This window comes from Homo sapiens, chromosome 13 (genome assembly GCF_000001405.40).
Source record: "Homo sapiens chromosome 13, GRCh38.p14 Primary Assembly".
NCBI lineage: Eukaryota > Metazoa > Chordata > Mammalia > Primates > Hominidae > Homo > Homo sapiens.
This window is the reverse complement of record NC_000013.11, coordinates 104,838,374-104,850,908: the sequence shown is the minus strand read 5'-3', so window position 1 is coordinate 104,850,908 and position 12,535 is coordinate 104,838,374. Positions and strand designations below refer to the sequence as shown.

Genomic DNA, 12,535 nt, shown 5'->3' with positions numbered 1-12,535 from the left:
GCTTTTGTTTCTAAGTTAGTTAGTTATTTCCAGGCTCATGACACAGGAATGGTGGGAAGCCTCTGCAATACAGCTGCTGAATGCACAACTGAAGCCTGTGAGCTTTACTAGATTGTCTAGCTTCTACATCCGATTTAGTTTTCCCATCGCTAGCTTTAGAATTACAGTGCTTTACTAATTTCTAACTTCGTTAAAAGATTATATTATTCAACTAAATTAAAAAAAATTAGATCTTGCTGTTGTGTTTTGGCAGTTTGGTTTTATATCACGTTTATGTCGTTTTCATCTATTTCTTTTATATTTTCTTAAGTTCTGCCTGCAAATTTGAATTAATAACTTTTTAGCATATAGTTTTGCAATTTGGTGGCATTATGTCATTTAATTTCTTGATACAAATGTCTGTATTGAGAGTATTAAATTTTTCATTTTTTAATTACATTGGATCAGGAAGGGAAGCTACATTTTATAACACGTGTCCCTTCTTTACATATAACTACATATTTTGTCTAAGCCTTGCTAGAAATATTTTAATATGCATCTTTTAAAAAAATTTAAGGAGTATAACAGATTCTGGGTTAGAAAACACGATGAAAATCATATAGTGGGAAATACCCTTTATCTTCCTTGCTATTTCCTGAAATGTTTAATCCTCTCCTCCCAAGACTTGACTAGATATAGAGGCATCCCCTTGGCATCTTACTTCCTTTCCCTTGTTCTTTGTCCGAGATTGTTTTTTCCTACTGAGGTACTCATGCTGGGTTTCATGTTCTCTGTGCAAAAATTCACCTAGACTGAGGTACTCATGCTGGGTTTCGTGTTCTCTGTGCAAAAATTCACCTAGAATCCTTGTCAAATCTTCTGCTTCCCTTATCTCCCTGGAAGCTTGGAGACATCTGTAAGATTTGGGTGTGTTTGGGCATAGTAAGAAAATAAACAAGTCACAGCAGGGGGCCATGTTATCCATGGTTTAGGAGCAGAAGACATATGAGGACTCTAGCTACCGGGATTTTTGGTTCAATATTTTCTTTGCTTAGATGGTAAAATAGAGAAGTACAGATGATATTTCAAGGGCAAAATTTTCTTCAGAAGTTCCTTAACATAAGTTGTCCTATCTGCTAGTAATCTAATGCTTCAATCACCTTGGAAAATAATGGAATTAGTGGTGGACTTAAAAGTAAATGAGTAAAAGATATAGTTTTAATTATAGATATAGAATTTATAGGAACTTCCCATATCTGTGCAACATGATGAGAGTATCTGTGCACCAGAATATGTTTGTTTGTTTGAATACTTTAGCAATCTCTCCATGTACATCAGCCTTGATCTTTCATTGTCCCCAAAGCATTTTTCTGCCACTCACAGCTCTAATATTGGAATATTATTGATTTATCTTCAAGTGTATGGATATTTGGGGGGAAACATACTTTCTCTGCTGCAATACATGTGTATTTTCACCCTCATTCTTGATAATGTCTGTTGCACCTTTCACAAGGGCTTCAGAAATATGTCATTTTTTTAAAATAAGTAGCAAAATAAGAATGAAAGTAAATAATATTTATATGCAGAAAAATAAATCTTTTGAAGAAAAGTTGGTATTTAATGTTTGCAGTTGTGAGTTCCATTAGTTGCAAAATGTGCTTCAGTTTTGAAGGATTCTGTGGAGATACGGGCAGCGCATATATTCTTTGCTCAGCTGCGTCCAGTCTACTAATAAGCTCATCAAAGGCATTCTTCATTTCTGTGACCGTGTTTTAGATCTTTAGCATTTTTTTCAGTTCTATGTTAGAATTTTCACCTCTCTGCTTAAATTGCATGCTATCTATGTTTACCCATTAGAGGCCTTAGTTTGCCAATCACAGCTGTTTTAAATGACCAAGTTTGATACTTTCAATATCCCTGACTTACCTGAGTCTGGTTTTGATGCTTGCTCTGTCTTCAAATTGTGTATTTTGCCTTTTAATGTGCCTTGTTTCTTGTTGCTTTTGTTGTTGTTGCTTTTTTTTTTTTTTTTTTTTTTTTTTTTTTTGTTGAGACAGAGTCTCTCTCTGGCACCTATGCTAGAGTATAGTGATGCAACCTCTGCCTCCTGGGATCAAACTATCCTCCCACCTAAGCCTCCTGAATAGTTGGGACTACAGGCATGTGCCACCACACTTGGTTAACACTTCTCATTTTTTGTAGAGATGGGATTTTGCCATGTTGCCCAGGACGGTCTCGAACTCCTAGGCTCAAGGAATCTGCTTGCCTTGGCCTCCCAAAATGCTGGGATTAGAGACATGAGCCACCACGCCTGGCCTGCCTTGTATCTCAATCTGTTTGTGCTTCTATAACAAAATACCATATGCTGGGTAATTTATATACAGTATGAATGTATTTATCATGGTGCTAGAGGCTAAGAAGTCCAAGGTGAAGCCGCCAGCAGGATTGATGAATGGTGAGGGCAGCGGTCTATTTCTGAGATGGCGCCTTGTAGCTGTCCTAACATGGTGAAATGGAAAGAAGGGCAAAAGGATCAGAAAAGTCTAAGCTGATACCCTCCAGGTCTTTTATACGGGCCTCATCCATTTGTGAAGGTGCAGCCATCATGACTTAATCACTTCCCCAAAGACCCCACCTTTTCATATCACCATAATGGGTATCAAATTTTAGCACATGAATTTGGGGAGACATTCAGACATTCAAAAATTCATTGGAATTTTTGCTTGATAAGCAGGCACGCTGTACTTAGTAAAAGGAAATGCTATAAATAGCCCTGTAGCAATGCAGTGGCAAGGTGTGTATGTTGGGGGAGTGACCTGGAGTCTCATGATCAGATTTCAGTCTTTGGCAGAGCCTCTGCCTCTGGATTGTGAGATTGGCTGGTTCTTCTCAGGATCCCTGCCCCCTCGCCCCTGAGTGGGACTGGATGGCTAAAATTGGGTATTTACTTCTCTTCCTCCACGAGGAAAGTTAGAAAGGGCTGGAATTGTGTATTTCCCTTCTCCCAGGCAAGTTAGGCTCTGATAATTTCCCAGTAGGTTAGACTCTGGTTAAGCAGCTTGTCCTAAGGGCAGACCTTGTTAATAATAACAGAATTCTCTGGTGTATTTTAAGATATTTCCTTTTTCCTTCTCCCTGTGGAAGCACAACGGGATTGATTTTTTTCCCTTTGATATTCACTGTGAGAACCTGGTAGAACTCCAGGATGTAGAACTCACAAAAGTCGTGGGTCTCTAATGACCAGGTCCTTTTGGGGGTTTTGTCTCTCAGACTCATCCACACTGAGCCCCCAGTGATTCATCAGTTACAGTTACAGGTTTCCTATCCCCGCATGGGTTTCCATGGAGGTTTTAGCTGCTGGGTTTTTGCTCATGTGAGTTTTGATTCTCCGTATTTGAGGTTTGTCCTGTGACCTCATTTCTTCCCCTGATCTAAGGAAAGGTTATTGATTTTCAGTCTGTGCAGCTTTTTACTTGTTAATAGGATGAAGTGATGACTTCCAGGTTTCTTACATGCCAGACTGGAAACCAGAGGACGTGTTGGTTTTTCATATTCCCATGAGAATAGCACAATTTAATCTCCTACTTACTGTGTACTGTTTGAGCCAAGAAAACTATATATTAGAAAAAATGTGTGAAAAAACTTTCAGATATTAAAACAGCAAAATCAATCCAGCAAAGACTGAGAAAAAAATACACAGGATATTTGAAGATACATTTACAGTATAAGTAGTAATTTAATGGGGTGTGTATTTTTTTCCTTCATAAAGAAAGTGAAAATCAAAATAGAATTGCTATATTTCTATGTGTTCTCTACTTCCTTGTCATGAAAAAATTTGATGTAAAGACAAGCAGTATATGTAACACCTGGGAACTTATTGGAAATACAGAAACTTAGGCTCCACCCCAGAGGTACTGAAGCCAAATCCATATTTTAACAAGCTCTCCTGTGATTCACATACACAAATGTTTGAGAGACATTGCAAGTATACAGAAATCTTCTTTTCTATGCATGTATATATCTTGGTACTGAGATTCAATAAAACAAATTTTAGTAACCATAGATCATTCGTATCCATCCATTTTCCTAAGATTTTTGATGTACAGAAAATAACAAGGTGGTGAAAATGTTTTATGAAGGTCAAACATTTCTTTCTTTGAGAAATAACATACATTTAAATAAAACAAATAGCTTCTTCATATTTGGTTTGTGTTCAAGGAAGAGTCATGTAAAGGACTAAGTAAAATATATCAAAAGTATCCCAGAAACAGGAAATTAGAATACCTCTTAGTCTCTCTGCACCTGAGTGCAGGATATGTAAATGTCATATCTTCCTTTAAGTGTTCAGTTCTAACAAGGTAGTGATAATCTCAGAGGTTCCTTCTTTGCGGAGCAATTTCACTTCCCCCATTTCCATGCATTTCTTACCATTGTATTTGAGGCAGCCAATCTGCATGCAGAAGTATTTTTCTATAAACATATCCAGCACTGCTTTAGCAGTATCTTTCATAAAACCAAGTCAATGTAACAAAGGCTATGCCTCATAACAGTTGCACATACAAGTATGTTTTAGAAATCAGAATTCCCGATGAATTACTATGGCATTCAAATTTACTTTTTTGTTTTACTCCCCTAAAGGAGAAAGAGTGTTTCTGGGGTATATTCCTCTTATAAGAAAAATAAAAGTAAAAATCTATGTCATAGATTGCCAAACCGGATTTCAAATGAGTATAAGCTCTTAGTAAAAAAAAGACTATGATATTTTACTTGTCTCTAATCATTCTGCAACATTCAGCATTTGTCATGTACATATATAGTTATGCGCACATATGTATGGATGGATGGATATATAGATAGATGTATTTTGCACACATATAAGTATTAGTATTTATGTATGTGTATGTACATATATACATATGTGCATAGATAGCAATCAGAAAGGCTGTGTATGTTGAATTGAATTAGATCATTTTCCCCCTAGAAATTATTTGCATTTCAAAATTTGTGCTTTAACTTCCTCAAATATAGTATAAAGAAATTTTGCTTTTCTATGTTTAATCAAGAATTGTCTTTTAATACTATAAAGATTAATTTTAATTCTTTCTATTTGGCTTCAGCTTCTCAGTTAAATTTTCTAAGCATTATTTTTCTGTCTTCTAAATGTGGATAGAGTATATGCTTTTTCTACCTATAAAGATACTTTGAGGATATGAGACACATACAAATAATTTTAAAAACTAAAGTTTTCACTTTCACCTTGCTTCTTTTCTCTTCCTCCTTTCCCTCAAACTTGATCAGAGCCCATCATGGGTGAATGAGGGGCTGAGGGGATGGAACCAGGGCTGATCAGCCATCAGGTATGGGAAGACCTCTTTCCAATTGAAAGGAACTAAAGAGACTAATGCCACATAATAACTAAATGCAATGTGTGATTCTGATTGGATCCTGGACAAATAAAGGGCACTATTTGGACAGTAGGCCAAATGAGATTGGAATCTGCAGATGAGATGTCAATAATGCAGCAATGTTAATTTCCTACTTATGCTCATTGAACTTTGATTATGTAGGACACTTTCAACATTTTTAATAGACTTTATTTTTTGAAGCAGTTTCGTGTTCATAAAAAATTGGGCAGAAAGGGCTGGGTGTGGTGGCTCACACCTGTAATCCCAGCATTTTGGGAGGCCTAGGTGGCAGGATCACAAGGTCAGGAGTTCAAGACCAGCCTGGCCAACATAGTGAAACTCCGTCTCTATTAAAAGAAAAAATAGAAAAATTAGCCGGGTGTGGTGGCACACGCCTGTAGTCCCAGCTACTAGGGAGGCTGAGGCGGGAGAATTGCTTGAACCCAGGAGGAGGAGGTTTCAGTGAGCCAAGACCATGCCATTGCACTCCAGCCTGGGTGACAGTGAGATTCCATCTTAAAAAAAAAAAGAGAATTGGGCAGAAAGTACAGGGGGTTTCCTTACAACCTCTGACCACACACCTCCAGAACCTCCCCCACTATCAACATCTCACACCAGAGTGTTATATGGGTCCCAATGAATCTACATTGGCACATCGTCATCACCCAAAGTCCAAGATTTCCGTGAGGGTTAACTCTTAATGTTGTACAAACTGTGGGTTTGGACAAATGTATAATGACATATAGCCACCCTTTGAATATCATACAGAGAAGTTTTGCAGCCCTGAACATGCTGTGTGTCCCACTAATTCACACCTCACATCCCACAAACTCCTGGAAACCACTGATCCTTTCACTGTTTTCAGTTTTGCCTTTCCCGGAAGGTCATACGGTTGGGATTATACTTTATGTGCACTTTGCAGATTAGCTTCTTTCACTTAATAATATGCACCTAAGAATTCCTTATGTCCCTTCATGCCATGATAGTTCATTTCTTCTTAGCACTCAGTAATATAGGCAGACCTAATTTTTTGTGCTTTGCAGATACTGTGTTCTTTACGAATTGAAGGTTAGTGACAACGCTGTATTAAGTAAGTCTGTTGGCACCATTTTTCCAACAACATGTGCTTACTTCATGTCTCTGTGTAAAATTTAAAACTTTTTAAATTACTATATCTGTTTGGTGATCTGTGACTAGTGGTCTTTTCTGTAACTATTGTAATTGTTTAAGGCGCCACAAATCACACTCATATAAGATGGCAAACTTAAACAATAAATGTTGTATATATCCTGACTGTTCCACCAGCTAGCTGTTCCTCAGTCCTCTCTCCCTCCCTTCAAGTCTCACTATTCCCTGAGACACAATAATATTGAAATTAGGTCAATTAATAAACTTGCAATGGCCTCTAAGTGTTCAAGCGAAAGGAAGAGTCACACGTCTCTTAGGTTAAAACAAAGGCTAGAAATAAGCTTAGAGAGGAAGGTATGTCAAAAGCTGAGATAGGCTGAAAGCAAGGCTTCTTGCACCAAAAAGTTAGCCAAGTCATGAATGCAAAAGAAAAATTCTTGAAGAAAGTTAAAAGTGCTGCTCCAGTGAACACATGAATGATAAGAAAACACAACAGCCTTATTGCTGATATGGAGAAAGTTTGAATGGTTTGAATAGAAGATCAAACCAGTCACAACATCCCCTTAAGCCAAAGCCTAATCCAGAGCAAGTTGCCAAAGCTCTTTAATTCTATGAAGGCTGAGAGAGGTGAGCAAGCTGCAGAAGAAAGGTTTGAGGCTAGCAGAGGCAGATATGAGGTTTAAAGAAAGAAGCAAAGTGAAGCAGCAAGTGCTGATGGAAAAGTAGTAGCAAGTTACCCAGAAGATCTTGCTAAGATAAAGGATGAAGGTGGCTACACTAAACAACAGATTTGTGATGTGCACACAGCTGCCTTTTTTAAAAGAGGATCCTATCTAGGACATTCATAGCTAGAGAGGAGAACCCAATGCCTGGCTTCAAAGCTTCAGACAACAGGCTGACTCTCTTGTTAGGGGTTAATGCAGCTGGTGACTTTCAGTTGAGGCCAGTGTTCATGTACCTCCCTGAAAATCCTAGGGCTGTTGAGAATTATGCTAAATCTACTCTGCCTGTGCTCTAGAAATGGAACAACAGAGCCCGGATGACAGCACATTTGTTTATAACATAGTTAACTGAATATTTTGAACACACTGTTGAGACCTAATGCTAAGAAAAAGAAAATTCTTTCAAATATCACTACTTATATAACAATGTACCTCGTTACTCAAGAGATCTGTCATGGAGATGTACAAGGAGATGTTGCTTTCATGCCTACTAACACAGCATCCACTCTGAACTCTGGGGATCAAGGAGTAATTTGAAATATCAGGTCTTATTATTTAAGAACTATATTTCATAAGGCTATAGCTGCCATTGATAGTGAGTTTTCTGATGGAACTTGGCAAAGTAAATTGAAAAATCACCTGCAAGGATTCGTCATTCCAGATGCCATTAATAACTTTTGTGATTCATGGAAGGTCAAAATATCAACATTAACAGGAGTTTGAAAGAAGTTGATTGCAACCCTCACGGATGACTTGGAGAGGGGCATGACTTCACTAGACAAAGTAACTGCAAGTGTGGTAGAAATGGCAGAGTATTTAAAATTAAAAGTGGAACCTGAACATATGACTCAATTGCTACAATCCCATGATAGAACTTGATGAGGAGTTGCTTCTTATAAATGAACAAAGAATGTGCTTTCTTTAGATAGAATCTACTCGTAGTGAAGATGCTATGAGCATTATTTAAATGACAAGAAAGGATTTAGAATATTATATAAAATTAGTTGATAAATTTGCATCAGAATTTGAGAGGATAGAATCCAATTTTAAAAGAAATTTTACTATCGGTAAAATGCTATCAAACAGTGTCACATGCTACAGAGAAGTCTTTGGGGAAAGGAAGAGTCAATCGATGTGACACACTTCACTGTTGTCTTATTTTATGAAATTTTCAACCAGGTGTAGTGGCTCATGCCTATAATTCCAGCACTTTGGGAGGGCAAGGCTGAAGGATAGTTTGAGGCCAGGAGTTCAAGACCAGCCTGGGCAACAAAGCGAGACCCAGCTTCTACAAAAACTGTAAAAATTAGCCAGGCTTAGTGGTGCCTGCTTGTAGTCCCAGCTACTTAGGAGGCTAAGGTGGAAGGATTGCCTGATCCCAGGAGTTAGAGGTTGCAGTGAGCTATAATTGTGCCACTTCACTGGGTGACAGAGTGAGAGACACCATCTGAAAAGGAAAAAGAAAAAACCTCCCACAGCCACCCCAACTTTCAGCAACCACCACCCTGAGCTGTCAGCAGACATCAATGTTGAGGCAAGATCCTCCAGCAGCAAAATGATTAGGACTCACTGAAGGCTGAGATGATCATTAGAAATTTTTAGCAAAAAAGTGTTTTTAATTAATATATGTACATCACATTTTAAGACATAATGCAATTGCACACTTAACAGAGTACCTTGTAGTGTAAGTGTAACCTTTATGGGTACTGGGAAACCAAAAAACTCAAGTGCTTCAATTTATTGTGATCTTTGTTTTATTGTGGTGATTTGTAACCAAACCCACAATACCTTTGAGATATGTCTGTCATCCATGGTCTACATATACCACCATTTATTTATCTGTTTTCCTGTTGAAGGACGTTACTTCTGAGTTTTGGCAATTATGAATAAAGCCTCAATAAACATCCTTGTCTAAGATTTTTTTTTTTTTTTTTGTGGGCATACATTTTCAACTTATTTAAATTTATACCAAGGAGCACAATTACTCGATCGTATGGTAAAAGTATGTTTAGTTTTGTAAAAAATTACCAAAGTGCCTTGCAAAGTAGCTGTACCATTTTGCATTGTTATCAGCAATGAATGAGAATTCTTGTTGCTCTATATCAGCGGTCCCCAACCTTTTTGGCACCAAAGACCAGATCGTGAAAGATAATTTTTCCATGGACAATGCAGGTTTGGGGACGGTTTCGGGATGAAACTGTTTCACCTTAGATCATTAGGCATTAGTTAGAATCTCATAAGAAGCATGTGACCTAGATCCCTCACATGCACAGTTCACAATAGGGTTCATGCTCCTGTGAGAATGTAATGCCACCGCTGATATGACAGGAGGCAGAGCTCAGATGATAATGCTCACTCGCCGCGCCACTCACTTCCTGCTGTGTGGCCCCATTCCTAACAGGCCACAGACCAGAACTGGTCCACAGCCAGGGATTTAGGGACCACTGCTCTACATCCTCACCAGCATTTGGCATTCTCATTGTTTTGGATTTTTGCCATTCCATTAGGTATGTGGTAGTATCTCATTGTTATTTTAACTTGCAATTTGCTAATGACTTATGATGCTGAACACTTTTTTTTTTTTAAAGGAAATGTACACTGTGGTATCTAAAGTTAATGAAGTATTGTGTAAAAATTATTTTATTTATTTATTTATTTATTTATTTTTTTGAGAGATGGTGTTTCATTCTGCCACCTAGGCTAGAGTGCAATGGTACAATCTCAGCTCACTGCAACCTGCACCTTCCAGTTTCAAGTGATTCTCTTGCCTCAGCCTCCCGAGTAGCTGGGAGTTGTTTTCATGCTTGCTACTTGTGCCCACCCCCACACCCGGCTAATTTTTGTATTTTTAGTAGATACGGGGTTTCAACTTATTGGCCAGGCTTGTCTCGAACTCCTGACCTCGTGATCCACCTGCCTCGGCCTTCCAAAGTCCTGGGATTACAGGCGTGAGCCATCGTGCCCGGCCAAATTATTTTCAAATGGTTCAAAAATATTAGAAGACATAACAAAAAGGAAAAGACAACTGTGAAAATGAAAGGTTAACAACTAGGGGATAGGAAACCTTTTGGAACTATTTTTGAAACTTCATCATAAGTTTGAAATTATTTAAAAATAAAAAATTTTGATTAGGTAAATATTTTATACTAAAGAAATATACTACAATAGATCTTTTCTGGATAATCTTCTCAGGAAACAAAAGAAATATTATTTCTGATCTCACATATCTGACTGGAAATACAGCTTTTGGTAGGAAGGGTCATTGGAGCAGTGTTGTGATTTTAGCAACTATAAGTTCTACTCTGAACTTAAAACAAACAAAAATGGTAAAGTATTCCCCCATCACCCGATATTCATGTAGCCAGATCATAAGCTAATTCAATTTATTCCTGATAACTTTGATATAACTAAAAAGTTTTTAGGATGAAGTATCATGTGATATGAAAAATCGATTTTTTAGCTAAACTATGGAATGATCAGGGTTAAACAATTGTCTTACCAAGATGATATTACATTTATAATATATATAAAACTATGGATATATAACATGTATGTGTGCATTCCAGTGACATATTCATCGTATTTTTAGTGCAGTGTACTCATTGGAGGGAAAGCAGGAACTCAGGCCAGTGCTTGTTAATGGAATTGGCCTTTTAGCTTTCTTTATTTGACCCTCCTCACAAATCCCACTTCCACCGCCATACTACAAGGCTGTTTGCAAGATGCTCAACTCAACACTGAGTCAATACTCAGTGTGTCTTGATTTACAAGTGACAGAATGACTACATATGGAAATGCTTTCAAGCTCCTTGCCAGCAGGGTGGTGGATTCACCTACCTATAGAGTGTATTTGGAGACCCTACAGGAGTTTTAGAATAATCTCATTCATCTTTCTACCAATCCAGAGCAAAGAAAGTATGAAACAGAGTTTATTGAACTATAATAAATTAATCACTATTTATAGATTCTTAATACAGGGAAAACACACTTAATTTACTTTGTATTTCAAAGAATGTCTAAGTTATCACTGCTTTGAATTTGGTGCTAGGAGACATTAATTAAAACAGAAAGAACAGCTGAAGCTAATTTTAACAAGAATTAAAAGAATACCTAAAAAAATAAAATCTAGTGACATTTGGTCACCGTCACAGGAGCTGTGGACTTGGAGACAGGCTACAGCTGTAAGAAGAAGGAGAGGGGTCTTGGGGCCAGAAATACCCACTGGAAGGAAAAATTTTACAAAAGGTATTTATCTCCAAGAACATATTCGTAAGAGTTATTTATCTCCTAGAACAGCTTCTTAGATAGATAAAAGAGAGGAATGAATGAAGCAAAGAGACACTTTGATGCAGAGAAGATTATAGCTTTGGAGGAAATGAGAAATGAGTTTTTAATTCCAAAACATGAAAAAGAGCATCTGTAATATATATGAATGATTACTAAAGTTCTTCTTACTCCTGAATTCTCAGCTAAACTACTGCACATTTTGATATTCCACATGCCAAACCTCATCCCCAAAACATACCAGGTGTGTGTGCTTAAAAATCCAGTTTAGTCTAAATCATCTAGCTTGGTCCTCATTTTATACTCAACTGATTCTTTATCACAGACATTTATTAAGTGGAAAGAGAATAGTTTGCAATGAAATGTGGACGCTTAGAGATATATGACTTTAAAAGGACCTCAACTTTTAATCAGTTTCAACCCTATCAGTAGGTCTATTAACATGAATTTGTTCTAGTTATGCAAAATATCTCACTTTATAAAAATACTATTTAAAAAGTCCTTGTAGAATTTGTTAGTGAACTAGAAGTGTTAACTCATTTAGCTTCACCTCATAGGATTAGTCTAGATTGTAAAGCATTTGTAATTCTTTTGACTTTTTCTGTATTTTCCATATTTCATTTATATTACAATATTAAGTCTTAAAGAAAATGGAGAACAGCATGAAAGACCTTGCTAAATTTGATGTTGAGGTAACAATACTTTGTTTCTTCATGGGATATGATTTGTTATGCATCATAGGATTCGTTATTCATACATTTATTTGAAAGATATAGATATGCACACGTGTTACTTACAGGGGTGAAGGGAAGCAGCCGAGATGCAGTCAGAGACATTTCGAAGCTACGAGCTAGAAATAGAGATGAGAACATATCAGAAAACATCCCTGAATTCAGGGAATGTCATATCTTGTTTGCTTTTTTAAATGGCACCATATAACTCCTTTGTATTGATTCACCAGATCTCTCTTTGTTCATGGGGCAACCTTATGCCCAATCCGTGTAAATTTTACAATAA

At 37.2% G+C, this 12,535-nt stretch overlaps 1 long non-coding RNA gene across 1 annotated transcript in view; it reads right to left on the bottom strand.

Moving 5' to 3' along the window:
• Positions 1–12,442, bottom strand: part of LOC107984608 (uncharacterized) — a 52,829-nt gene extending 40,387 nt beyond the window's left edge. Inside the window, exon 1 of the long non-coding RNA XR_001749997.2 lies at positions 12,316–12,442. This is a non-coding gene — a long non-coding RNA (uncharacterized LOC107984608). The remainder of the gene's footprint in view (positions 1–12,315) is intronic.
• Positions 12,443–12,535: the final 93 nt, after the last annotated feature.